General features: G+C 49.2%; 1 protein-coding gene across 15 annotated transcripts, besides 10 other annotated features; it reads right to left on the minus strand.

Moving 5' to 3' along the window:
* Positions 747 to 1247: an enhancer, noted in NCBI's record as "H3K4me1 hESC enhancer chr2:101007732-101008232 (GRCh37/hg19 assembly coordinates)". NCBI's record gives its function as "activates a minimal SCP1, AML or CMV promoter by ChIP-STARR-seq in primed H9 embryonic stem cells {active_cell/tissue: H9 hESC(primed)}" and the evidence as "EXISTENCE:reporter gene assay evidence [ECO:0000049][PMID:30033119]".
* Positions 1248 to 1748: an enhancer, noted in NCBI's record as "H3K4me1 hESC enhancer chr2:101008233-101008733 (GRCh37/hg19 assembly coordinates)". NCBI's record gives its function as "activates a minimal SCP1, AML or CMV promoter by ChIP-STARR-seq in primed H9 embryonic stem cells {active_cell/tissue: H9 hESC(primed)}" and the evidence as "EXISTENCE:reporter gene assay evidence [ECO:0000049][PMID:30033119]".
* Positions 1337 to 27145, minus strand: CHST10 (carbohydrate sulfotransferase 10). 15 transcript variants are annotated; one of them, XM_017005381.3, is made up of 9 exons: positions 26851 to 27145; positions 24518 to 24588; positions 18020 to 18137; positions 16924 to 17183; positions 16053 to 16184; positions 12041 to 12132; positions 7385 to 7619; positions 4986 to 5091; positions 1337 to 3259 (listed from the first exon to the last, which is right to left on the minus strand). In XM_017005381.3, exons 5-9 carry the CDS (start codon positions 16150 to 16152, stop codon positions 2722 to 2724), a joined length of 1071 nt encoding a protein of 356 aa, XP_016860870.1. In that variant the 5' UTR covers positions 16153 to 16184; positions 16924 to 17183; positions 18020 to 18137; positions 24518 to 24588; positions 26851 to 27145; the 3' UTR covers positions 1337 to 2721. The 15 variants fall into 15 exon arrangements, with proteins under 15 accessions (XP_016860870.1, XP_016860869.1, XP_047302393.1 ...); XM_017005380.3 differs by having other exon boundaries at positions 16924 to 17369; XM_047446437.1 differs by having other exon boundaries at positions 26735 to 26853.
* Positions 3488 to 3557: an enhancer, noted in NCBI's record as "active region_16291". NCBI's record gives its function as "activates an Ori minimal core promoter by ATAC-STARR-seq in GM12878 lymphoblastoid cells {active_cell/tissue: GM12878}" and the evidence as "EXISTENCE:reporter gene assay evidence [ECO:0000049][PMID:35858748]".
* Positions 4128 to 4237: an enhancer, noted in NCBI's record as "active region_16292". NCBI's record gives its function as "activates an Ori minimal core promoter by ATAC-STARR-seq in GM12878 lymphoblastoid cells {active_cell/tissue: GM12878}" and the evidence as "EXISTENCE:reporter gene assay evidence [ECO:0000049][PMID:35858748]".
* Positions 4508 to 4767: an enhancer, noted in NCBI's record as "active region_16293". NCBI's record gives its function as "activates an Ori minimal core promoter by ATAC-STARR-seq in GM12878 lymphoblastoid cells {active_cell/tissue: GM12878}" and the evidence as "EXISTENCE:reporter gene assay evidence [ECO:0000049][PMID:35858748]".
* Positions 4938 to 5197: an enhancer, noted in NCBI's record as "active region_16294". NCBI's record gives its function as "activates an Ori minimal core promoter by ATAC-STARR-seq in GM12878 lymphoblastoid cells {active_cell/tissue: GM12878}" and the evidence as "EXISTENCE:reporter gene assay evidence [ECO:0000049][PMID:35858748]".
* Positions 14592 to 15093: an enhancer, noted in NCBI's record as "H3K4me1 hESC enhancer chr2:101021577-101022078 (GRCh37/hg19 assembly coordinates)". NCBI's record gives its function as "activates a minimal SCP1, AML or CMV promoter by ChIP-STARR-seq in primed H9 embryonic stem cells {active_cell/tissue: H9 hESC(primed)}" and the evidence as "EXISTENCE:reporter gene assay evidence [ECO:0000049][PMID:30033119]".
* Positions 21428 to 21955: an enhancer, noted in NCBI's record as "OCT4-NANOG-H3K27ac-H3K4me1 hESC enhancer chr2:101028413-101028940 (GRCh37/hg19 assembly coordinates)". NCBI's record gives its function as "activates a minimal SCP1, AML or CMV promoter by ChIP-STARR-seq in primed H9 embryonic stem cells {active_cell/tissue: H9 hESC(primed)}" and the evidence as "EXISTENCE:reporter gene assay evidence [ECO:0000049][PMID:30033119]".
* Positions 26641 to 26790: a silencer, noted in NCBI's record as "silent region_11814". NCBI's record gives its function as "represses an Ori minimal core promoter by ATAC-STARR-seq in GM12878 lymphoblastoid cells {active_cell/tissue: GM12878}" and the evidence as "EXISTENCE:reporter gene assay evidence [ECO:0000049][PMID:35858748]".
* Positions 26801 to 27250: a silencer, noted in NCBI's record as "silent region_11815". NCBI's record gives its function as "represses an Ori minimal core promoter by ATAC-STARR-seq in GM12878 lymphoblastoid cells {active_cell/tissue: GM12878}" and the evidence as "EXISTENCE:reporter gene assay evidence [ECO:0000049][PMID:35858748]".

The following is a 27477-nucleotide window of genomic DNA, read 5'->3' on the forward strand; positions in this document are numbered from 1 at the left end:
CAGGCCTCTCATCTCCTATGAGCCTGCGGTTCTGCTCAGCCCTGTAACTGCACTATCCTGCTGAGGGTCTCGGCATGTCCGAGGAGCTTGGGAAACTATGCTGCATAATTTGAGTTTAGTCCAATAGGCTGCCTTCGCCTCACATTTAGCTGCTGTCTTGATTTTTCCCTTTCTGTTCCCTGCTTCTGGAGATTCCAGATGAGCAAAGCATGCCGGGGTTTAGAGCGAGAAAGCTGGGGGGTGAAAGGGAGGACCCCCCCCAGTGCTGTGTCAGAGGCTCTTCTTTTCAGGAACCCAGGGCAGAGGCCACCTGGGTGCCCTGCAGGCCGTGAGTGCACACCTTCGTGTGCACCCAGTCAGCCACTGTGAAAATCAAATCTCATCTCAGCTCTGGGCATTTCTCTGTAGTGGTTCTCAACACAAGACCAATAAACCTGACACGCGCTAGGAGTGAAATCCAGTAGGAGAGAAGCGGTCTAAAACACAAACCCATTAAGTCAACCTCGTATTATTAAACTTCCTAATTTAGGAACTGCCCTCCGGGCCCTAGCACTTCTTGGAGGCAGGGTCGCTGTTTGTTTCTCTCAAACCCAGGCTGTTAGTGCAGAGGTCCCCCTAGGCCTGCCTACTCCAGCCACCCCCACCCTGGTGTCACTGCCTGGGAATGAGCTGTGCCACCATCCAGCCCAGTCCTGAGGAACGCCCAGACAGGGTAGCAGAGCCCTCCACATGGTGGTGCCTCAGGGGGCAGAAGGAGGTGCACCACCTGCTGTAAGCTGAGGAGGGAGTTAGTGGATCTGGAGCCTCAGAAGGAAGTCAGGGGACAGGGGAGTGGGGGTACTGGCTGTGCAGAAATGAACGGGGTGGGCTGCCGTGCTTGGCGGCATCCTTGCTGTGGACACAGTGAGATGTCCAGGAGATACTATGGTAGCAATCTCCACTTGTGTGGCAAAATATGTTAGGAAAATGACCCAAATGCCAAAGGGGAGGAAGAGACCACCCCAGGGGCCAGAATTTTGTTTCTGAGGGAAAACACTATTTTAATTAAGACTAGCTTTAAGGCCTTCCATTCATATACAGATCCACAGTTAGATTCCAAACAGCAAAGAGGTAATCAATCAGCTCATTTGGTCTGAAATTGTAACAAGACTTTGCTAAACGTTACAGAAAAATAACCCAGTGTGGCGTCCTCGGCCCTGCGTGTCCATGGCGGCTGAAGGCTGGGCCTCCTGCGGTCTGCTTACCCTGAGCAGCTATGCATGCGTGCGCACATGCCTACCCCACCTGCCTGGGGCGCGCGTGGCCACAGGCACCCTTCCCAGAACCGCAGCTCATGTCAGGTTTGGCACATAAATTTTATTTAACTTTCACATTGACACAATCAGGAAACCATTCTGAGAAAAGGTAGAGGCCGCCTTGAAGCGAAGCCTGGCTCCCTCCTCCACCCCGGGCTCGGCGGCACCATGCAGGCTCAGGCTGGCACTCATCCCAGGAAACTGTCCCAGTTCTCAGCGGTCCTGGCTGTGGACGGTATCTGAAATGGTCGCTGCGGCTTGCCCTGCACCAGGGCCTACCTTGTTGCCAGGAAGCCGCACTGCTGGAGGCTACCTGGGCGCTGGGTTTTATTGCTGGTGAACTTGGTTACCCACCTTCCAGTCACATGGTCCAGGATGGTGGTGTGATCAGAAATGGCTCTGGCAGTGCCCATTTTGCTGAGATGAAAGGAATCGAAATGTATAAACTACACTGAATTCTGTGATGCTGGCAGGTTGCCCCTGCTCGTCTTCAGCCCCAACATGGGAGCTCCCTGGAGAAGACAGGTGGAGATTCACTGCTGTCCACCCAGGTAAGGCAAGTCAGAACTGATGCGCCGGGATCCACAGCAGCCTGAGCTCCAAGCCCAACCAGCGCCCCCATTCCTGGGCCATGGTCCTTTTAAGGCCCTCAAAGACACTCCCCTTCTCAGGTAGAAAAAGCCTCCCCTCCCCTCACCTTCTAAAATCGTATGTCTTGTGCTGAATGAAATAGGCGCTTGGCAGACACAGGTTCAGAAGCATGGACCAGCATTACACAGGCATGGATTCTGGAAAGATGGACCCCTGGACACCACACCACCCTCTGGCCATCGCTGACTGTCTACAGGAACAAAATAGTCACAGAAAGAATGCTTTGCCTCCACAATTGTCGCAGCACCAAGATGAAGGCCAGAGGTGCCGTTTTACTCCTCAGATCTGATGCTGCAAAAGTCTCTGCGATTTCAGCAGCCCCCTTGCTTCTCTGTCCCTCCTCAGAGTCCTGGGTGCTGTTCCTGCAACCCACCAGTGATGGGTGAAGCCACCCTGACTAGCCAGGAGAACCTCAGGGGCATCCCCTTCCTTAACACCTGAAGGAAACGGCTCCTAACGCTGTGTGATGCTTCCTCCCTGCTGGGCTGTCAAACTGCAAATCTTTAGCCTTTTCTCCCCTCTGAGGTGAGCAAAGGCCAGCGACATCCTAATGCACGCAGGGGTGTGGGCAGGGTCCTCAGAGCATCTTACATCCAAACTAAGTTGTAACAGTTGGGGTTCTGCGTCATATGCCGAGGCAACTCACAGGCCTGTGGGAGACCCCGGGCGTCCTCAAAGGAGGGGTGTGGTGGAGGAAGGGTCATTTCTGGGCTCAGATCTTCACCTGGTTAGCCCCAGGTCTAATAAAGATATTTGAATTCATAGGTCTTATGCATTAGTTTAGCAAAAAGTCTGGTTTCTGGTACCCAAAGAGCTTAAAGTCCCCTTCGAAACGGGCATACAGGCGTCGGATGTCTCGTTTGCTGATGCCCAGGAAATAGTGCTCCACCTTGGTTCTGTTATACACGGTAATGCCCGGAGGGATAGTCGGGTATGACACCAGGTGGTCAATGCCAGCCTCTTTTAAGATGTATGGGGCATCGTCCTCCAGGGTCTCGTGGTGTCCAATCACACTGTACATTATCTCACAGGGAGCACAGAGCTCTACATACGTCACCCAGTGAATGATGTGGTCCCCAAACTGAAGGTCTAGCCATCTGTGGTTCGGATCGCCGAGGTAGCGCACGAAATCTTCAAACTGGATCCCCCGGGTCTCTGTCCGGTTCCTCCTGTATTTTCTGATGATGCCAGGAGCAATCTCATGCCTGTACCAAGGCTCAAACCGGGGATTGTGAACAAATTTATCCTTAAATGCAGAAATAAGTCTTTCGAAGGGATCTCTTACAATAAAAAACTTGAAGTATGTTTTCAATCTAAGGAAAAAAACGAACAAGAGGTTAACTTGATGCCACAGGAGGTCACAGCTGAGGGGGCGGGAGAGGGAAGAATGAGCGGAGTGCAGCACTGTGTATGGGACCCTCACGTGCCGAGGCTGCCATGAATGCATTCCACACGTCTCTTAATCTACTCCAAGATCCTGTGGATTAATCCTGTTATTACCACACTTTGCAGGTGAGAAAACAGAGGCTTGGAAAACCTTACCTGTCCAAGGCCACAGTACTCATTGTAGGCAGTCACTGTGAAGACATCTATTTAATCTACCTTCTGTTTTACTTGAATGATTCAAAACTTCAAGAATGTTTACAAATTTTGTTCCTGGGCAGAAAATCATAAGGGCAGGAACTCTGAGTCAGGAATAGATGGTGCCAGGGAAAGTTACTTTAAGGGCATATTTTTAAAAGTTCAATTCAAATTGCCAGGGGAAGGGGGGCAAGAGAAAACAGAGAGTCAGGCTTCACGCTCCAGAGGGCAGGAGCAGGTCTGGGTGAGCTGCAAGCGGGCGGCAGCAGAGCATGGCCCTGGGGAGGAGGGCCGGCAGCAGTGACGATGACAAAGACGATGACAACAGTGACATCACAGAACACGGTGTGATTACGACAGGCCAGAAACTGCTCTCTGTGCTTTGCCGTGTCTTCACTCACTGAGTCTCACAAAAGCCCCATGAGTGCTCAGGGCAACAGCAGGACACTCCTCACCAGGAGCATCTCTGGTAAGGGTTGTAAGGATGGGCAGGTGCCATGCAGGTCAGGCGCCATGCAAGGCAGGTGGCTGCAGACCCAGGAGGCAAAATCCAGCTGGTGACCTGACGTGAGCCGCTGCTTTTGCATCCTCACTCCTTTTCAGCCTTGCTCTCCTGGGCCACCTGAGAGCTACTACATGAGAACTTTCTCATCTATTAGCTAAGGACTCCATCTTCTTTTTTTTTTTTTTTGAGACAGAGTCTTGCTCTGTCGCCCCAGCTAGAGTACGGTGGCCAGATCTTGGCTCACTGCAACCCTTGCCTCCAGGGTTCAAGCGATTCTCCTGCTTCAGCCTCCTGAGTAGCTAGGACTACACGTGTGTGCCACCACAGCGGGCTATTTTTTTTTTTTTAGTAGAAACGGGGTTTCTGTCAGTCACACTTGTCTTGAACTCCTGACTTCAAATGATCCGCCCACCTCGGCCTCCCAAAGTGCTGGTATTACAGGCATGAGCCACTGCGCCCAGCCTGGACTCCGTCCTTGCTGCGATCAGGGGTTCCGTCTCTCTACCCTGCCCATGCTGGATGCAGCCCACACAACCACTGCAGGGGCAGCTCCCACAGCAGTGGGCACAATGCCTCTGGGAGAATCAAATACTCAGTGAGATCTCTGCAATCCAAATCCCTTTCTTATAAAGAAAAGATCATATTCAGCAAGCAATCTATAAAACTTTACCAAAGCAGAACAAAGTTGCCTGCTAATTTCTATTAACAAAATGATGTCACCTTCATGTTAATGGACTGTGTGAAGGTAAGGCTGGAAATTCTCAGAAGGAACTGAGAGTTTTGAGGCGCCGAATGGGGGGTGTAGCTTAGCTGCCTCTCACTGATGCAAACCGACAGCCCTCTGTGGTCCTCCGATCAATCTGCCAAGTACAGAACTCAGCCTGGGGTTTTCCCCAAATTTCTTCTCAGGTTTACAAAAACTCCCCCCTCCCCTTTGAGGAAGCTGTTCTCACCGCTTCTGAATTTCTGCATCACTGAAGGAAGAGAGCCGAGGAAGGCCGTTCTTCTCGTGGTCGTGCACCACGTTTTCGGGGATCTCCTCAATGGAAGAAAATGCTCCTGGGAAGTAAACGGAAAGGAAGGCAGGTTGGCTGCTCCAGTACGCCCCTTAGAGAAGGGCATGTCCTTACCTCATCTTTACCTTGGGCCTCATGTTCCCCACGTGTGCATGACAAGCCCACCCCCAATATCCAAGTTTAGGTCTTTGAATTTCAACTGCTTCTGCCAGCAGGATGAACGAGTGAAGAAAAGCTTCTGGGAATCCATAAGCCAACTAGAGGAAACTGATGATTTCAGGGAGGAGGGGGAGGGAGCAGGAGTGGAAATGCTGGCAGTGCCTACCCCTGGCAATGGACCTAACTGGGCTAAATCTGCCATTAGAGGAAGATCGCTGCATGCAAACAGAACTCCTAACACCAGCAACACTTACTCTACTCTGAGACTGGGGGAAAATGCCAGAGAAGCAGGACTTTGGAACGTCATGCTAACAGATGCCCGCAGCAGCTTCACAGCCCCATCCCATAGACAGGCTAAGCTCTCCAAGCACCACATGCCCCTGGCCCACAGTGGCTCTCAGGTACCCCAGCAGCATCCCAGGCTGGCAAAGAGCAAAGACCTTTTGATGCTGGAAAAATCTGACTAAGCTATGGGAGCTGTGATACATTTGAGACAGGAGTCAAAAGAGGACAAGGTATGTCGAGAAGGCAGGGCCGTGCCAACAGCCAGGGTCTGTCATCAGGGACCAGTGCAGGTCCAGGCTGCTGAATGGAACTTGGGCAGAGACCATCCTAGGGTTGGTGGCTGAGCAGGTTTTTCACTCTTTTCTCAATACAGACAAATGGAAATACACTGTCAGTATGCTGAGGTTTTCTCCAAGTTTCTGTAAGCCTTAATATCCATCTTTGTGTTAATCCGGTAGGGTTAAGATTGGAGTCCTGGCAGGGAAGAATCTCCCTGGGCCATCTGACCAGTGGACACAGTCTTGTCTGTTTTATTGATTCCTCCCCCGAGTGTTTAAAGCCCAGTCCAGAACTCTGCGGTACATGCTATGGATGGCTGTAAACTAGGCGTGGGGAGCACTGCTCTCAAGGGGACAATGACAGAACCAGCTCTGTGGGTCCACATATGGGCCCATTCATGCACCTGTCCCCATCCAGGTGCACTAGTGGTTACCGAAGATAGCCACAAGGACCACCCGCTTCTGTATTACATGATCCAGCAAGCCCACTCTGATTTCTATGCTGCCCTTCTAAGTGGGTGTTTACTTCTTAAAGTATGCTGCTTCACACTGTGGTGGCTGATTTGTGAGCCTTTGTATATTCCTTGTTTTCAATTCGATTTGCAGCCTCATTCTGCTTCTGAAAACCCAACATGCTATCCAATCACTGCAGAAGCACATTAATTATATGTGACAACCAGATGATGAGGTGCCACCATTCTCTCTCCCAGCCAACCCCTGCGAAGGCCAAACAGTGGCCAGGAGTGACCACCGACTCTGTGGGCAGCATCAGGAGTGGCAAGCAGGACATGGAGCCTTAGGGCCACCTACCCATGGTGCCCCAAAATCCGATTTCTGACCCAGGAGTCCCACTGCTGTTGACTGGAACTAACTCCTGTCTGAAGCTAAATTTCATAAGCAGAGCCCATAATTATTAGGATCGGTTCAGACTAATTGGAATTTAAATAAATAGACATCTCTAAAAAGAGTAGTGAGTAATCAAAACTGCAGTGTATGAGGTTACTTTGTGATGATCTAATTTGTTCCCTAGCAAACATCAGGTTTCCTGAAGCAAGCTGACTCAATCCTCTGAACACAGATGCTTAGTGTGAAATGGGGTACAATTTCTTCCTGCTCGCTGGCACAGAACGCTTGGTCTGCAGGTAAAGAGGCTCCAGGCCCCGGGCCAGGGCTCCCCTCCCAGGCTCTACAGTGTGAGCCCTTCTCACTGCAGAGAGGGTGACCGTGAGGCTTCCTGGTGGCTCTGCGAGTGTGGGGCCCTGGGGATGTCGGACAGAGTGGGTGACTATAACCATCAGCACAGGGAACCTGAAGAGACAAAGGAGGGGGGCCTGGGGGTGGGCGAGCCACCTAAAGTGAGGATCTGCTGTGACAGGTGAGGAGAGCTGGACTGTGGCTGTGCCCCTTTGAAAAGAATCGGTGTCTAAACGAGCCCCACTAACTTGTAAGGCACAACACTAACAGGAAACAACAAAAACAGGCCTGTCTGGACGGCCACCAGTCCCTTCAGGTCAAACCAGCCCTCTTGTGACTCCTCCTTGCTGTCCTCCCCAGCCTCCTCAGCACCGGCCACCAAGACCCTTCCCAGTGGACATTCAGTAGACCCACACACACCATTTAGAACAATCAGCACTTTCTTCCACTGGGTGTTGCCCACTTTGGGAGTCTGGCAGAAAAGAATCTTGTGCTTGTCACAGACAAATATTCGGTCCAGGACAAACTTGGAGACAGGAGTGTGCGAGAGATTCTTCAGGGCATCATCCCTGCAGACGTTTCTGATGAGTTCCAGGCGCTCCATGTAGACCAGGGGCTGAACGAGCTGGCTGTCTGGAAGCTCCTTCCCAGTTGGCTGCAGGTGACACAGAGCAGAAGAGGCCCAGGGACCATTAAAGGAGGCAGGACCGGGCCAAGCAGAGCCGCTCCTGCTGGTCTATCCCCTCCTTTCCATCTGGAGCCTTCTCTTCTTCCCTTCCTTGTCTGTCTACAGAGTGACACCCACTATCCCCAGCCCCTTCATGAGGCCTTCAGAGCCTCTCCACCAGCCCGATCGGCAGGCTGGGCAAGGAAAATGAATGCAAGCTTGGTTCCTCAGATCTTTGGAGAGAAGTTTGACTTTAAAAAACAAAATAAGGCCGGGCACAGTGGCTCATGTCTGTAATCCCAGCACTTTGGGAGGCCAAGGTGGGCAGATCCCAAGGTCAGGAGTTCGAGATCAGCCTGGCCAAGATAGTAAAACCCCATCTCTACTAAAAATACAAAAATTAGCTGGGTGTGGTGGTGCACACCTGTAATCCCAGCTACTTAGGAGGCTCAGGCAGGAGAATCACCTGAACCCAGGAGGTGGAGGTTGCAGTGAGCCTAAGATCGCACTACTGCACTCCAGCCTGGGCGACAGAGCAAGCAAGACTCCGTCTTGGGGGAAAAAAGAAATTAAAAACCAAAGTAAGAAGTTTGGAATCCTCTAGCTAGGGGGAAAAAGATGAAAAAGCTCAAATTCTACATGCTGGTCCATTCTTTTCAGGGCTGTTTTAGAACCTAAGAGAATACCTGTAATGTGAGAGGCCTTGTGTGTGCATGGGTTGGAGGGGGCACAGGGAGATGTGCCAGTACACACAGAAGTTGCTCAGAGGCCCCCTGTCCTCGGTGAGTTAAAGTCCCCTTGCTGCTCACACCTCCTTGTTCTCTGGAGGCATCCTGAGGGCATTCCTGAATAGCAGGGCAGCCTCCACCAACCCCATCGGCCCCCTCTAGTTGTGGCCCTGTTTCTCAGCATTTTTAAGGCTTCAGCTGCTACATCTCTCTCTCTCTCTTTTTTTTTTTTTTTTTATGAGACGGAGTCTCGTTCTGTGGCCCAGGCTGGAGTGCAGTGGCACGATCTCAGCTCACTGCAAGCTCCGCCTCCCGGGTTCCCGCCATTCTCCTGCCTCAGCCTCTCGAGTAGCTGGGACTATAGGTGCCCACCACCATGCCTGGCTAATTTTTTGTTGTATTTTTAGTAGAGACGGGGTTTCACTGTGTTAGCCAGGATGGTCTTGATCTCCTGACCTTGTGATCCGCCACCTCGGCCTCCCAAAGTGCTGGGATTACAGGCGTAAGCCACCACGCCCGGCCATATCTATCTCTTAAAGCTACACAGAACTTCCCAAAATTTCAAAGCAGATGATCCTTCCAAATAATTGTATTGAATGGACCCAAATATCCTTGTTATATCTTTTAAAATGCACTGGGCTTGCCAGGAAATCCATTTATAGGGTAGTTTTAACAACCTGTCCTCCCAGGGGACAACGTCAGTTAGAAAATGGGAAGGACATAAGACTTCTAGAACACACTAGAACCGGGACGCTGGAACTATCAGGATGACAGAGGTCCCCCCTCAGGGCCCCCCACCCAGCTCTTCCTTTATGGATCTACTGTAACCAAACTCTCTTACACTCATGACCTCTGGCCAGGATGCTTTCTCCCTTGTGTGTTTAAGTGAATTTCCTGGGATTCCCTGGTGGTGGGAAGAGCATCCTGGGGGCTACTGACTGCCTGCTTTTCGAGATGAAGACACTGGGGAAGCGAGAGGCCCCTTTGCAGAGTGGCCTCCGTTCCTCCCCACAGGGCATCAGCGGCTGCCCGGGCCCTCCACCCACCATGGAAAACCAGGAGCCACGCCAGGCACTCTCCTTGCTCTTACAAGAACGGGTCTCGTTTAACCTCATTTCCTCATCCATCCCACCTCTTGCTCACTTATCCCAAAAGAGCCTCTCTGTCTTCTCCTCCCTCTCTGTTCCAAACCTAACCCTGATCATGGATGGCACTCAAGAACAGCGCATCAGGAGAGAGCACCTCCCAACAAGTTCCCTTTAGAAAATGCAGAAAACTCTGCACTTTTAGATACTGCTTTTCTTTGAACAAAGAAAAGATATTAGATATTGCTTTTCTTTTAGCAAAGCATTAGAGACAAAAATTCTTCTTCTAAGAGACGAGGTCTTGTTCTGTCACCCAGGCTGGAGTGCAGTGGCACAATCATGACTCACTATAGCCTCCAACTCCTGGGCTCAAGTGATTCTCCCACCTCAGCCTCCCAAGTAGCTGGGGTTATAAACACACACCACCATAACCACCTGATTTTTGTATTTTGTGTAGAGATGAGGTCTCAGTATATTGCCCAGGCTGGTCTCAAACTCCTAGGCGCAATCGATTCTCCTGCCTTAGCCTCCCAAAGTGCTGGGATTATAGGCGTAAGCCACCATGCCCAGCTAAAGAAAAAAGATTTCTTGTTCAATTGTGTGTAAGAATGAGCATTGTTTTCTTTTTTCCCTTTGGAAATATACAAAGCCAACTTAAAGACAAATATTATTTTCTATTTTCCATTCAAACATTCGGCTACACCATGCACAAAGTAAACTTTTTTTCTGAGACCGAGTTTCGCTCTTGTTGCCCAAGCTGGAGTGCAATGGCACGATCTCAGCTCACTGCAACCTCCGCTTCCTGGGTTCAAGAGATTCTCCTGCCTCAGCCTCCCGAGTAGCTGGGATTACAGGCACATGCCACCACACCTGGCTATTTTTTTGTATTTTTTAGTAGAAATGGGGTTTCACCATGTTAGCCAGGCTGGTCTTGAACTCCTGACCTCAGGTGATCTGCCCGCCTCGGCCTCCCAAAGTGCTGGGATAACAGGAGTGAGGCACCGCACCTGGCCAAAATAAACTTTTAAAGGTGAGCTACAGAATCTGATCATGTTGATAAATCCCCTTTCTTGTGAGAAGACACATGCTGAGTTTTGGTGTCACCTAACGGCATGTGGCCTCAGCGGACATCACCTCTGACATCCCCCACTTCCCTCACCTCCCATCTGAGTCTCATGAGAATGACTGGGGCAGCGGGTAAGAGAGGGGCACAGAGGACACTGAGTTCAAAGCCCAGGCCCACAACTTGCTGTCCAGGGGATACTGACCCAGTGAGCACAGTTCCTTGAGCCTCATGTTTCCCAAATGCAAACAGAATAAAAATATACCTCAGAGGGCGGCTCGGAAGACCAATGAGATTGAAACCCAGTAAAGTACACTGCAAACTGTAAAGCACATTCAGGCGCAGTCTTTTTATTTGCAATGACTCCTGCAGGCTGGCAATCTCTCCGGGAGCACCCTCCACCCGGAGAGGGAGCACCAAGATGACCACCCTCTTCCTCACAGGGTATGGCATCCTTGAGGGAACCTTGTTGCGACACTTTGCCAAAGGCTTACCCTACCTTTGTTTTTATCCATGTAACTTTGATTTCCTATTAAATCCATCCTATTAAAGCCACTCTCCTATTTCCCATAAGATTTTTTGGTTTCGTTTCTGTACCCCATCCAAATTATTTTCTTACCCTGGGATGCCTCAACCTAAAAGCAACATTTAGGCTGTCTCAGAGTTCTGTAAACTTGGCCTCCATTCCATCAATGTCCTACGAGAAGTAACCTCCAGCAGCACTCTACTGACTGGTGTATGTTTTCTATGTTTATTGAGTTCTAATTTATCATCCTTACACTGTGACCCATGGATAGGAGCTGTCCCAACCTCTACGGCTTGATTCTGGGCTAAAAATATTTTTAGGGCTCGCTGTACCCATTTCATTCCTTCTGGAACAATTGCAACTTCAACCCTCTAGATCCAGAATGGGGGTTACGAAGTGAGAGGCCTTCCAGAGTGCACCCCTCATCCCAGCTAGGGAATGATCAGGAATTTAGGTGCACAAGAAGCCTGCAGAGAGCCATGGAGCCAGAATGTCAAGCCAGCAAGGGCTGGGTGGAAGTCAGCAGCCTTGGGCTCCGCCAGGAACTCCATGGGACTGTGGAGGATCCACCTTTTTTCTAGGCTCAGTTCTCTCATCCATACAATTTGGAGGCTGAATTAGTTGTTCTGCTGTCCAGGGCCCCCTTTCACTCTAAAACCCCATGACTGGGTGAGATGTCTTCTCCCACTTCTGGTTTCCTCCTGACCCTGCCCAATACTCTCGGCTCCCCAGGCAAGGCTCATGTTCAGCTGGTCAGGAATGCTGCACAACCAACAGTGACAGAGCAGCCCTGATGCACAGAGCTCTGTGAGGGGCACAAAAATAGACGTGACCTGTGCCTCTCCCAAATGGAAATTAACAAGGTGAACTAACATGGAGAAGTAACACAGGAAAAGGCTCTAACGCAGACGTGATGACAAGCGGAACCAGCCACAGGGGAAGGCCAGCTCCCCGCGACAAGGGTGCCGTGTTCAAGAGGACAAGGACCACGGCCTGGCTGTGCCCACCTTCAGTTCCTCAGGAATGTGCTTCTCTTCTGGCAACTTCCTCACTTCCGGCATGGTTGTCAGGAACAGAAACTCCTGTTTGGCACTGTACACTGGAAGACAGAGAGGTTGAATGTCTTCTCTAAAAGGAAAAGGCACACAGGTGGATGGGACAGAACAGAGGCCCCAGAAATAGAAGCTCTCAAAGATGCCCAAATGCCTTTTGACAAAGCCATAAAAGCCATTCAGCGGAGGAGGGCAGTCTGTCCAACAAATGGTGCTGGGGCACCTGGACATTCACACACGGAACAAACCTTGATCCAAACCTCACCCCTTATTCAACAATGAACTCAAAGTGGATCACAGACCTGAATGTGAAACATAAAACCATCAATCTTTTTAAAAAACAACCAAAGAGAAAATCTACACTGTGAAAGCCCATTTGAAGAGGAGGAAAAGACAAGCTCCAGATAGGGAAAAAATATTTATGAACCACTTATCTGACCAAGGACTCCTATCTAAAATATATAAAGAATCCTCAAACTCAACAATTAAAAAACCAACCAATCTAATTAGAAAATAGGTACGATACACCCAGACATTTCACTGGAGAGTATCCGCAGATGGCAAATAAGTACATGCAAAGATGGTCAAGGCTGCAGAGACCTTCACATCACAGGCTCTGCCCTCAAGCGGCTCAGAACCAATGAGGAAGTCAACCAGGAGAGGAAAAACCAGCGCCTACAAACACAAACCAGGTCCACAAGGGCATCATTTTGAGTCTTGCCATATGATTCCATCACATTCCCTTCGCTGAGGGGGATTTATTTTCTTATGAGAAAGTCTAGTTACAACACCTGATCCTAGTTCAATATGATACTGAAATTTGCTAACTGAGGATAAATCATTGCCACAAATATCACTGGCTCCACTGCTGAGCTGAACAGAAACTGTAACACTAAAAAAAGTAAGTGTTGCTTTAAACAGCAACTCACGACAACCATGCTCTTCCTAGGGGCTCCAGTGGCAGGAGAAACCGGGAAAGGCAGGTAGGTGAGAAGAACATGCACACCACTGATGGGGGTTCTGAGGCTGGCCCTGTCCCAGAGGACAGAGCTGAAAGGAGCAGCCCGGGAGCACTGAGGCCAAGGCTTCTCCACGCACTTTCCAGGAAATGGAACTCCCCACCGTGGACACTGCCGTGTCTGTTATTTCCTGGTCTTGACACTTCACAATGGGCTTCTGGTTCATAATCAAAAACACCGTGAACGTGTGTGAAATAAACTCCAACATGTGAGAAGCCCTTTATGGCCACGAGCTTAGAGGGGTTCCTGTGCTGCCCAAGATCCAGGCTCCGGGACACACTCTCTAAAGCACAGTGCTGGAAGGGCAGGCTCCAGGGGAGAGGCCTACACCACCCCAGCCCAGGGCCTCTCTGACGCCTGCAGGGGCAGGCTCTGAGTGTAAATGCTCTTGATGCTTCAGCCCAGCGTCCTTGTGCACTGGCAAGATGCTGGGTGCCAGCTCGCATCCTGCATCCAGAACTCAGCTGGCGGATATCCACCTTCAGGATCCTAACCTAACCAGGTCCCTTGGGACAATTAGGTAACATCTCACGCGAGTGAGGCAGGCTGGGTAGTGCTGTGGTGGTCACCCCGCAACGGGAGTGGGCCCACAACAGAAGATTCTCACTGAGTTCACTGCACACTGTGCGGCCAACAGCATCCTCACCACCAGCAGCCCCTGCCTCGGGGTCAGGGGCAGCACTCCCATCTCAGTGACCCAGCACCCACACACCACACCAGATCTCACAGGGCAGGGAAAGTGCCCCCTTTCACTCGCCTGAAGGCAGCCGGCTGGAAAGATCTCACAGGCAGTATTAAGGACCGCTGCGGTGCTCCTCTCCAGGTGTAAAATCCGAAAGCCCTTCATCTTTCTTCATAGGTTTTATCTCCTAACACTCCTTACCACTCCTTTTCTCCGCTTCACAAAACCCTGTTCTGCGCCTACACTTGCTTTTTTTCTAACCGGGCCTACCCCTGCTTAGCTTCCAGGATCAGTGTCTACACTGAAAACATTCAGCACAAAACTTGATACATCAAAGGAGAATGAGACCTCATTTACCAGATGCCGCTGGGAAACAAGGCATTCTTTAGAGGCCATTCTGCCAGATAACAGTAAAACACAAAGGCACAAGTCTTATTTAACTATTACCTATAGAAGTCTCACTAAAATGTATTACATCTACTCCTACTTTTTTAAGCAAAATAAACCATAAACAATTTAACCTCATGACCTGCCTTTTGAGTGCCTTCCATACCAGGAGGTGACATTTAGGAGAATCCTGAGTAACACCTATTTCTTATTCTCAGCAGCTCTGTTTCTCTTCAGTTCTCCAGCTAGGATCTACCACTGTGCTTCTCAACTGGGCCCCACCCCTAGTGATTCTCCTTCACTGGGTCTCAAGCAGCAGCAGGTCTGTAAAGTCCCACAGGTGATTCTGAAGTGCTGCGGGGATGAGAACCCGGCTCTAGGGCTTCAGGAGGGATCTCTCAGTGGCATGGCACTGTGCTGAAGCTGCCATGGAAATGTCCAAACTGTCAAACTGAGATCATCGTGTCACATTCCAGCAACCCTCCAAGAATCGACCCTTGCTCTGCTGACGGAACCCCGAGTCCCGGGCGTGAGCTGTCATGCTCAGTGACACCTGCCCAGATACCTGCAGGTGTAATATCACCTCCCGAGGCTGTGCAGACCTCACAGGTTTCTCTCCAGGGCTCCTGGAGGATGAGGCAGGACATGTGATGACAGCCAATCAGGGCCCAACAACTGTCATGGGGAGAACCACCATGTGGGCTAATTTCAGGGTGTCCCTCTTTTCCCTGCAGACCTCCCTTCTAACCTTGCTGTCCCTCTGCAGACAAGGTGGGGCAGAGAGAGGATGGGGCAGGAGGTGTAGGACATCGGGCAGTCCTTGACACAGCCAGGGACATGCCTGGGAGCTCTGTGAGGTGGAGCAGGGGCCTGTCCCACACAGACAGCACAGGTCAGTGCAGCCTCCAGGAAGAACTGCTGGCACAGAGGCATCTCTAACTGCCCCTTTCCAAGGCCACCATCGGCAGGAGGACAAAGTACGGTGCAGAGCACAGCAAAGTGCTGTGCTCATCCACGTTCCCCAGTATCTCCCAATCAGCCTAAAGGAATGGGCCAATCCACGGCACAAATGAGGACTTCAATGACTCCATGTGTCTGGCTTCCTCGTGCTTGCCTGCTTGGCCACTCAATGAAGTGGCCTCGGGGCTGGAGAGCATATCACACACCTCTTTGGACATATCCAGCACTCCACAGACCACAGAGCACCTCACCATGCTCAGGGCAATCATGGGCGGTGCCGGAGCAGGCAGGGTGTCCATTTGGTGGAAGAAACATTGTGATGTAGATAAGCAAATGACAAGAGCACGAAGTAGAATCAGCATTCTGAGACCCAATTTGGCGCTCTTTATCCGTCCTCATCTGAATGCCTACGTTCAGTAAAGGAGAGCTAAGAAAGCCTCCAAGACAACCTGAAGACATACATTTAAATGACCCTCCTCCGCTGCATGGAGGGTGACCTTCAAACATGTGGCCACCACACGGGCATGCCAAGCAGTTGAGGCTGCACCTCTCATGATGACATGAGGCAAAGAGAATTCCCAACTGCGAGCCTGAGAGGCGCCCTGCTGCAAGGCATAAGGCCACTGTGCTGCTGGGAGGAGACCCTGCTCCTTGCTCCTAGGCACCACCCAGGCCTCAGCCACAAAGAGCAGCTTCCTTCCTCCAGAGGAGATGCTTGAAAAGACCCTCCAGCCCCTCCCACCCTACCTCCCCTCACACCTCTGTAACATGAAGGAACGGAGGCCATGACCTCCAAGGTCCCTGCTGGCATGAAAGTCCTTTGACTCTGTGACAGAAGTCATCTATGCATGTACCTAGGAACAGTGTTGCAGCTAGGTCTAAATTAGCCAAAATTCGTTCCACCATGAAGCATACGTACCATCTGGGTCTTTAAAGGTCAACGTGATGAACTTGCTAGCCACCATGAACATGAAAATCACCCAAAAGCATGCGGCCAGCAGAAGCCACTGGTGGTGCATGTTGTCACACCGCAGCCATTCACTGACTCTTCCTGGAAAACACAAGCGAGATGCCCCTGCTGCTTACAAATACATCAAGTCAACAAAGAGGAATGAAAACGACAGGTGATTTCAGTCAGTAAGTATCAGCACAAATATTTCCGTTTTTTTCCACTGCTACAATAGGTAGTTTGACTTGGCATTTAACATTTCATATTGAATTAATAATATAAATGATTGATTCAATAATAAAATCAAATTTAGAACACCCTAATGGAGAGACATGATAATGAGAGAAGACCACTTCCTTGTGTTCTCAGAACACAGAATAAGACTCCTTTGCACATTTGATCCCTGACTCCTGTTGGGCCCAGGCTAAGGTCCCAGTGAGCTCCCACGATGGTCTGGAAGCAGGTGGCAGGAAGAGGCCTGCCAAGGACTAGGCCTTAGCTGAGGGTCATTCATAGTGGGCAGAAGCCATGCTGGGGCAATTAGGAGCTGGCTGTGTTTAAAATTCTGACTGGCTGACAAGATGTAGCCACACCTAGAGAAGCTCTAAAAAAGCAAAGGAATGAACACTGACGCTTCTCGCCTCCGCCCACTTGCCAGCAGCGGCCTGGGTAGAACACTGAGGTGGGTGTTTTTCATGCTGTCACAGCCAGGGAGCAACACGGGGCATGTCGGTCCTCAGCCTGGCACAGAAGCCACACTCTCCTGCAGGAGGCACATAAAGAACTGGGAAGTCACTGTCAGTTCTTGGCAGGTGACACAAGAAAGTGTGTTTCATTTCACCTTTAACACAGTGCTTCTTCAAGCCAAAGCTCTCCACGTACAGACAAGACCCTGGGCTGAGCTGGCTTCCACCGACTGACTGAGGCCATCCATCACTTCTGCATGGCAGGGAGAAGTGGTCCCCTCAACACAGTGCTGATGGCAAATAATTTCAGAGAGAGCCTCCTAACCCTGGGTGGGTCAGAGCTCCATGAAGACCCAGGTGAATCACTCTCCTTGTCTCAACATTTACATCCTAGAATCTCACAGGAACCAGGCATCTGGAATGCAAATAGGATCCATGACACACCCACCACGTAGTTATCCGGCCACACCTGAATACAGCCTGCAGTGGGGAGCTCACCACCTGCCAAGCTGCCTGGGTTTTCTCCGGATGGCTCGCAAACCACCCTCAGGTGCCCGTGTATAAGGCTTCGTGTGTTTCCTGGGGTCACCAATAGGGTTGCCTGATTAGACAAATAAAAATACAGGACATCCCCCAAGTTAAGATTGAATTTCAGATAACATAAAATTTTAGTGTAAGTATAACCCAAATATTGCATAAGACATACTTATACTCCCCCCCAAAACCAGTATTTTTTGTGCCCAGATATGAGGCCCAGTGTCCTTCCCAGGTTCCCCAAGTCGGGTTGAACAAATAAAAACACAGGATACCCAGTTAGATTTAATTTCAGTTAATTTTTTTAGTATAAAGTATGTCCCAAATATTACATATACTTATACTAAAAAAAAACAAAAACAAAAACCTATGTGTTGTTTTCTGAACTTCACATTTAACCGAGTGTACTGTAGTTTATCAGCAACACCACCCAGCAGGGGCATGCCAAATTCCTTGCAAGCCAGCTGTCCTGTCTCCTGTCTCCATCCCACAATCCCCTCCTCCTTCCGCCACTCCATGTCAGAGATAGTGAGGCACAAAGAACCCCAGACTTGGTTCAAATCCCTGCTCACACCCATTAGCTCTGTGACTCCATAAGTCACTTAACCTCTCTAAGCCTCAATGTCCCATCTCTAATAGAAGGCCCTCCTCCTACCACTACCTCAGAGTGGCCATGAGGATTAAATGAGACAATGTAGACAAAAAACCAGCACCCACCTGGCCTGGTGCAGACCCCCAGTAAAAACTGACCAATCCCTTGGCACTCTTCGTGATTTTCCAGCTTAATCTACACCTTTCTCAGTGTGGTTGCCAGAAATTAATGCGACAGTAGGGTCTACACCAAGAAGAGAGAAAAAAACAAGACACACTCTTATTCCAGCAACTGCTAACTTCCCTTCAAGAAACTGAGGCTTAGACTGTGGCCAGAGGATGCAGGGCCCAGCAGTACCAAGTCCACTGAGCTCAGCCCTCTAAGACAGTGCACTCAGGGGGGTCCATCCTCATGGGTCACAGTGAGAGCACCCCCCTGAAAAATGCCAGCTGCAGGCCATTTCTAACCAAGCAGCAGAGGCACCAGGGTGGGTTGGGGAGGGAGTAAAAGGAACAGGATGTACCACGCAGGTTGCATGCAATTCTAAACAGACAGGTCCTGGCTCTGAGTGTCCTGGGGCTTGCAACCCACCCTCTCCTAGGATCAGTGCTATGAAAAAGGGAACAACGATAAGAGGCACTGCCTCCCTCCTGCAGGTGACGCGCTGACTCTGCAGAGCATGTGGCGGGAGGACCTGGGAACTGCATATTCCACTGCCTGCTCTGCTCATTCCCTCCAGGCTTCCAACCCCTGATCACCCTCGCCCGGCCTCAGGACAGCACTTTGGAGGTTTTTATAGTTTAAGAATCAAATCTTTCCAATGGAACTAGTCTTCTGAAGGAATGTAATATGATTTCGCCCACTGAGCTCATCTGCAGGTAAAGTGGGAAGATAATGAAGCCTTACCTGAAAATGAATAGCACCTCTTCTGTTCTCCAGGAAGCCAGGTGGCCTAGGGATAGGATTTCTCCAACTACATGAGTTGAAAACTGAGAGGTGCACTCTCCTGAAGCCATATGTGCCTTCCTAAGTATTGGATTTTCATTTAAAAGTCAGGAGCTCTTAGCTTCTTTCAGCTGGGCGGGGGGTCAGGGGCTGGTCTACACTCACCCTCTCCCTAGCTAGTCTTTCACCTGGGCTGGGGTCAGGGACTGGTCTGCACTCACCGTCTCCGTAGCTAGTCTTTCACCCGGGCAGGAGGTCAGGGACTGGTCTACACTCACCCTCTCCCTAGCTAGGTGGCTGTGGGTGTGTCAATGAAGAGCTCTTCGGGCTCCCATTTTTCATCCACAGGAACAAACAGCTACCTGCACACTCATCAGTCAGAAGACCTTCTCAACAATCATGCAACTGACCATGTATCATCCAATGTGTTCTTTCACATGGGTATTTCATTTTCAAAAAATCCATTTTTAACTTGACTTCTGCAAACTCTTACTAAACTAAGATATACAGAGAGTCCCTTCCCTGGCCACTCCATTAGGATAGGAGAAGGGTGGACTGCAGGGTTCCCACCTCCTTCCCCTGCTTTTTCCCTGCTTCTTGTCCCCGGGATGGTACCAGGACACGTGGAGACTCCAGTGGGGGATGTGGATTTGCAAAGCTTCAGGGGCAAAACCCTAGCCCTGCCAAAACCACTCTCTTGAGAAGAGCATTACACCCCAGGCCCCTATCAGCATTTCAAGCACAGCTGCCTGCCAGCATGCCCATATCTGGCTGTAGAGCCCCTTGCAGGCCACAGAGCCTGTGGGCAGTCACTGCGGGGTCCAGGAGGGAGCTCTCTGAGGAGCTGCTCCCGGCCACTGGGCTTCTTGTACACTCGGGGTAAGCAGGGCCTGCTCCCTTTCCCATGGGCAGCAGAGGAAGAGTCAGCTCTGCCTCATCACCACCCAGGTGGCACCCCCAGCACCGCTCTGCGCCACCTGACCTTGCTCCACTTCCTCCACTACACCCAGCACAGTCCAGATGCTCTCGCTATGTGCCATTTGCTCTCCTTGCAGAATATGGGCTCATGCTGGTCAGGACAGCAGGGACCAGCACAGTGCCTGGCGCACCATGAGCCAACAATTGCTATTTGCTGAATGACTGTGTCAATTGAGCAACTTACTAGAACTCAGGAATGTGGAAAGGTACTTCAGGAGGCAGCCTGCCCAACCCTCTCCCTGAGGGTCTCCAGGCTTTTTCAAGAATGAGGCCCCCTTTCAACCTCAAAATATTTCTCTAGTCTCCACAGAGCAGTTCTATGTTTAATATCCATTAACTGAGACTAGAAAACAACCAAATGCTATGAGGACTTCAGTATTATTTGAAAACAAAATGATCTAAGCCACAGCATGTATATGCATTCAAATACACTTACTACTTAAAACACATTGATTGGGGGGTTTAGGAAATCATGCCGAAGTCCAAAAACATTTTCATTTCAAATAAAACTCTATGATGAAAGGCAAGCCAATGACATAGATCCATATCCAAAGTGTCAAGATATACCAGTAAACAAAAAAGACAAGTTGCAGGATGGAATGTATGATCCCATTTGTTAAAAAAATCATGTATGTGTGAAATATATATGATTACACACATATACAAACATAGACACATATATGTAATACATAGAATAAAATCATGAGAGGACAGTAAGAGCTCTTTTTGTACTTTATACAATTCATATTTTAAATATTTGTAATAAGCATTTTTTCTTTTTTTTTTTTTTTTTTGAGGCAGTGTGTCTCTCTGTCACCCCGGCTGGAGTGCAGTGGTGCAATCTTGGCTCACTGCATCCTGCACCTCCTGGGTTCAAGCGATTCTCCTGCCTCAGCCTCCTGAGTGGCTGTGATTACAGGCACGCCACACCTGGAAAATTTTTATATTTTTAGTAGAGATGGGGTTTCACCATGTTGGCCAGGCTGGTCTTGAACTCCTGACCTCAAGTGATCCACCTGCCTTGGACTCTCAAAGTGCTGGGATTATAGGCGTGAGCCACCACACCCGGCCTAGTTAAAAATTTAGAAAACTGGGACTTGTTCTACAAGTCACATCCTACATGAGCCAATCAGAACCAGTAAGACTACAGCCCAGTACTCTCTCAAAATACCCACTTCCCTCAGGTCCAATATCTCTACAGTTTACAAAATACAGCACTCAAACATGAGTAGGTGTGTATGTGCATACAAGTTTAAGGACAAAATAACCTAAAAATAATGACTTCAAGCTCATTATTCATTATCCAGTATCCAGTGTATTCATTCATGCAGTAAAACAGCTGCCAAGGATATGACCCTGAGTCCCTAACTAAACACACACAGTTCTTGTCCTTACAGAGCTTGTCGTCTAACAGGCCCACACGAAGGAAAGAAGCTATCTGAGGAGTGGTACTTGATGGTGTGAGAGGGACATGGTGCTGTGGGGAGAAAATACAATGGGATGTGCCTTGGGCAGAGTGGTCTGGGACAGCACAGTTACCTAAGGTGAAGGGCAGGGTTCCAGGCCAAGGGAATGGGCCCCTGAGTAACTAAACGCAGGCCCATGTGGCTGGAGTTCTGGGGCACAGGCTGAGGCAGATGCAGGCCAGACAACATGGGGCCTGCCAGGGCTATTATGGTCTTTTCTTTGCAAGCAATGGGAGCCCCTGAAGAGAGTTTTACATGAAAAGAGGGGTGGTGATGTCATGATCTGATTTAAATTTTGAAACAGTTTCTTCAGCAGCAGAGTCAGAGGTACAAAAAGCAAATGCCCACTCAGCCACTGCCCAGTCTCAAGGTCATTTTCATTCATGGAGGAGGGAGAATTCTAACCCGGCACAAGCAACCCCGGTTGGGTGCTCCACATCCCATCATCTCTGGCTGTGGCTCTAGAAGCCAGCGGATGAGCTACGAGGATCCACATTATCTGGTGTGGTGGGTTTTGATGAATCCTAAAGAGTGGTGTGCCCAGCTAAGCATGGTGTCATTTGCTTCGGGATTATGTGCCTTCTGAATCTAGACATCTACCTGAAGGTGTCTGGCTTTATGTCTGGGGCGGTACCTGGGAAACTTCCAAGAAATACAGTGATACCCCGGGCCCCAAGAATACCCCAGCCAAGACAACACAAATCTCTGGAGGCAGTACCCAGGCATTTTTTAAGAGCTCTGTTCGTGACTCTAATGAGCAGCTGGGACTGAGAATTGCTGGTCCAGGACCTCACCCCTTCTTAAATTTTAATGCCTACATGAATCCCCCTGGGGATCTTGTTAAAATGCAGACTCTAGGCATTCTGGCATAAACGCCATTCTCCCACCACCTCCTTCCATCTTAAGAAGGAAAATTGGCAGCAAAAAAGCATCTAGTCAACGAGAGTCTATTGATGCTCTGAATTACAAGTGTTCCAAATACACAGCTAAAAGAGGTTTAATTAGAATCTAAGACCTTCCATCACTGCCTTCATCTTACTCTCCTTTACAGCCCTCCCATCTACGGTTAACTAGACTCTGTAGAATCAGGCTTTGTCTGACTTTGGAAAACAACACAAAACTCTGCCCCATTTTTTTTTAAAAGAGAGGCATTCCAAATTCACTTCACCCCAGCTCCTCTAAGTCCGCCCCATTCTCTGCATTGTTTCCTTGAATACAGAATTTCACCATGGGGTTTGCCTCCTATCTGAGGATGACACCACCAAGGCTCATTATTTCTGTCTACAAGAGGACTGCGGCCTGACATAAAGAGTCTTTCCTCAGGGCTCTGCCAAGGGCTGCTGCTCTCCCTACAGCTAGGGGACAAATGGCCTTTAAAAAGCCTGGCATTTTCTGTAATTAACTCCCCTTTGTTCAAGGAGCCAAGACAACTCTCAGAGTGCCTCTAGAGCTAATGGTGGGAGCAGAACCTGAGCCCCTACACGCCCTCCCTTCGGTCATGGCGCAGGCCCTGAACAGAGCCTCCTGACCCCTAGAATCTGCATATCCATCTTCAGAGCTTTCCTACTTCCAGTCATTAAATGGGATTTTCACAAGTCAAGATGTCAGGATCTGAAACCAAGCCAGAGGGTTTGGTTCCTCAGTTCAACCCACAAGGATGAACTGGCAGCTGAAGAACTTAAGGCCTTATGGGGAAAGCAGGGTCAGGGAAGGAAGAATCTACAAGAAGCCCTAATCTTCCCCCTTCCCCACCTTAAATAAAAGATAAATAGCACACATTGTACATGTTTGTAATAACTAACAATGGAAATGTTACTATTACCATCTCTTGATGCAAATCCTTCCTCCCCTGCATTTTGAAAAGGAAACTTGTAAATTCATTTTGCTCAGCTGCCAATACCATTCCCGCCAGCAGCTTTTCCCCATGTCTGAGTTGTCATCCAGAAGCACAGCGCCTTTCTTACTCTGCTGATGAGTTTGCCTCCCACCTGCCAGGCCCCACTTTTAATATGCGCATTCACTTACTAAAGTTTCTGAAAAGTCCCATGGTAAATAAGCCCACTTAACTCTGCTTAACCAGGCTTTTTCCAGACATTTTTTCATTCAGCAATATTTACCAAAGCCCTCCTCTGAGCCGGGGCTGTTCTAGGCCCTGGGGATATAGCAACACACATTCCCTGCTCTCACAGTGCTTCCTACTAACAGACATAGACGGGCCATAAACAAATCAAGTGATCAATGTATATGATCAAGCCAGGTGACAGGTGCAGTGGCTAATAAACAAGGGCATGGGCAGGATGTTGAGAAAAGGCAGGACAGATTGTGGGAGCAAGCCATGCAGACCCCTGGGCAAAGACTGTGGTCTGGGTCCCAGAATTCCAAAAGTGGCAAGAAGGCCAGTGTTCCTCATGCAGAGTGGGCAAGCAGGGACAGGGGTGGGTCAGATGAGGAGGCCTGTCAATGGCCCTTTACTGACAACCTCACCTCATACACATACCAGGGATCACATGTCCAGGGCTCAACTTTTAAAACACAGCCAGACTCTAAAGGAAACTTCACACACACACACACACACAAAAACCTGGTAATGTACAAGGAACTGGTAACCCCAGGAGGATGACAGGTGAGATGAGAACTAGACAGACCAGGGCTGCAGAAACGGGGACATTTCACCATCAACCCTGAGCACATTCTGAACTACAATGCATTACCCTATCAATAGAATCATTAAATTACAACTCCATAATGCAAAGTGTGGCATATGAATTTATACTATAAAGTTCTATTGCATGTCACTGAGACTTTCAAATTCATAGTAAAGGTTTCTCTCAATCTGCGTACAGAAATTTCCTTTGTCTTCTCTGTTGTCATCCTTACAATTTACCGCCTTGGAACGATTAACCACCCTTAGTTAGGAGAATGAAAACACTCTTAACTGTCCAGTGAGAAATACACCTGTAGTTAAGACAGGTTTTCATGAACAATAATAATAATATACAGTAAACACCTGTATGGGGTTCACTCTGTACCAAGCACAGGTCTCAGCAGGTACTAACTCACATAATCCCAGCCTCAGAGCATGCTCCTATTATTATATTTAAGGAAACGTTTCTAAGCACACATTTACATACTCCTAATCAAGAGTTTACAATCTGCACAGGCAAGAAAAAAGGCAGGAACAATACTGAATGGCATGCTCAAATAACTGATGAGCTCACATTCTCCTTCACGTACCTTCTGCAGCCTGGGGCTCACATTTCCTTGCTGTGTTTCCCCTGAACTGAGGTTCTTGGTTCCTCTTGTCACTGGATAGGAAAATTAAAAAAAAAAAAGCATTATTAAAAGTTACAAGATCAACTTACTTAATACAACTTGGTTTATACTTAGGAAGGAAATAGTGAACCATTTTGATGATTCAAATATATTTGGCAGAATGGGTCTCTTACAAAGGCAGGTTATATTTGGATTTCTTGGTAAATGAATATTCTAAATGTACCAAAACCACTAGCTGTTTAAAAGACTCTTCCATGTAACTTAGTGTGAAAAATGAAACATTTTTTGTAGCAAAAATAATCAAATCCAATTATGCCTGTTTCGTATGTTTGAAATAGTTATAGGATTCCTATACAAGATGATCAATTCTTCCAATGCAAAATGTTCTCTGGATTTTCGTACTCCTTACACCTTTAGCACCTGGAAAATTTTAGCCAAATGCCATATCATAAAAAACCAGAAACAAGCCAAAGTCATGGAATTAGATCATGGATTTAGGAGATCTACCAAAATAAACATACAACTCATTTAACATACAATAAAGCCCAAGCTGACTGGGACACATGCAGCACGGTCTCTCTCTGCCTCCCTTTACTCTAAGAACTCAATGCTAAAATTAAAAGCAATTTCCTATTATGTTGATTGAAAGATTAAGCTTTATATACAGTCATTCATCACTTAACAATAGGGATACCTTCTGAGAAATGTATCGTTAGGCGATGTTCTTCTGCAAACATCAGAGCGTTCTTACATAAACCTAGATAGTACAGCTAACCACACACCTAGGCTATATGGTACAGCTGACCACACACCTAGGCTATATGGAATCATCTATTGCTCCCGGGCTACTAACTTGTACTGCTGTTACTGTACTGAATACTGTAAGCATCTGTAATACAATGGTAAGTATTTGTGTATCTAAAATTAGAAAAGGTAGAGTAAAAATAAGGTAGTATAGTCTTATGGGACCACTGTTGTATATGTGGTCCATCATTGTTAGAAACATCATGTACGGCATTTGATGGTCCTCACATCCAGGTTATCCAGAAGTGTATGAAAAGAAAATGAACTCCTGGGTTTCTGCAATCTCTAAGGTCCTGCAACCACCTCTCTCCCCTGTTTCTATTCCTGGCTCTCTCTCACCTTTTTATTGTATGAACTCCTCAAACACTGAAAAATGATCCGAATATAACTGCAAGTTGCCTGTGATGTTTACAAATTCTTTCCTTTCTTTGTTCAGTTTTGCAAACACTCCAATTTTCATTTCAGCGAAGAAGAGAATTTTCTGCTCAGGTATTTCTTTGAGATTCTATTCTTCAGGGTCAAGAGCAATTCTGAATTCTGAATTCCAATTCTGAGCCAAGATGGACTAAGCTCTTAATTATAATGGGGAGGGAAGGGAAAAGACCACTTCTCTCTTTGTGTCTTTTCATTTTAACCCAGTCACTGAAAAGAGTGAAGGAGGAGGTGGTTGGTTATCAGAGAGCCAGAGCTAAACTGAGCTGCCTAATTTTAACAGCGTCTGAGACATTTCTCACTCTGGCACTCTAAGCAATGCAATAACCCAACTCCTCATGGCCCAAAGCCCCAGACTCTGGTTTTCAGACAAAACAACAACAACAACAACAACAACAAAAACCCACCGTTATGACAGTCCTGCCGCTGAGCTAACCAGAACCTGGCTGCACTACTTTCCATTCACTGCCCAACCCTTTCCTGCCTTGCAGACTTGGAAAGCAAAAATGACATTTTGGAAAACCTGGTTCACCTTCCCAGCCAGAAGTGCAGAACTGCATGCCTCAACCTCCAACTTCGGACAGGCCTCCTGACAGCGAAGATCAGAGGCTCAGGGCACCCCGGGGCCCCTCAGGCAGGGAACGTGCATTCCCACCCCTGACTCCCCTCGCACCGAAGCTGCACATGCTCCTTCTTCCCTGCCTTCCTCTGCATGCTCCTTGGACCCAAGCTGAACCCTTTCTTCCTCTCTCCATCTACAATTACAAACGCAAATTCTCAGCCAAGGATGAAAGAAGTAAATTGTAGGCTCGCACAATATCAATAATTCCGCGGGTCACAGCATCCCGCACAAGGACGCCTTCTTATTGCATAATTAACGCGAGGAAGGCTCTTCCCGCTACTCCCGCGAACTAGGGAGGTCTTCAAGTCGCCAAAACACACCGGGATGTGGCTCGCCAGGACAAAACCCGCGGGTTCCCCGGTTTTTCCGTGCGCCCCGCGGCGGGGAGAGGGGCCCAGGCGCTGAAACCCACCCGCCTGCGCGTCCCCGAGCTCACCCTACTGGAGCGGCGCTCGTCCGGGTCCTTAGGCTCCTCCCCTGGCCCTGGGGGCGCCGCGCGGGTCGGGCTTCGCCGGGCCTGTGGGCGAAGCGCGCGGGGTCCTGGGAGCTCGGGAGGCCCGCCCCACCTTGCCCCGAGGCCTCCGCGCCGCGGCCCGTCGGGTCCCGGGATGTGGCGGCGGCGGCAGCGGAAGTAAGGAAGACGCCCGGCGCGCTAGACCGGCTTTGGGGGCCAGAACGCCGGCACCGCCTCACGCGGCCCCCTCGCGCCTATCCGGCCGTGCGCGCCGCCTGCCCGCGCGCGTCCCCGCCGCCGTCCCCGGCCGTGCGCGTTCCAGCGGGTCGCGGGGAGTGGGGAGGGGCGCGGCCGCGGGACCCCAGGCCCGGATCCCGAGTCTCCCTTTCTGCCGCTGCAAAAGCGTTCTTTCTGACCGAGACCTGCGGCCGGAACAAGTCCCGCTGGGCCTCCATCCAGAAAACAGGTTCGCTTTTTGAGAAAGAAAAAAAATCCCAAACTTGGAAAAAGGCAAAAAACCAAACCAAAACAACAACAAAGTCACACACACACACAAAACCACCTTGGAAAAATACAAAAAATAGATAAGTAAATTTCTTAAATCCCCAA

Source organism: Homo sapiens, chromosome 2 (assembly GCF_000001405.40).
Source record: "Homo sapiens chromosome 2, GRCh38.p14 Primary Assembly".
Classification (NCBI taxonomy): Eukaryota; Metazoa; Chordata; class Mammalia; order Primates; family Hominidae; genus Homo; species Homo sapiens.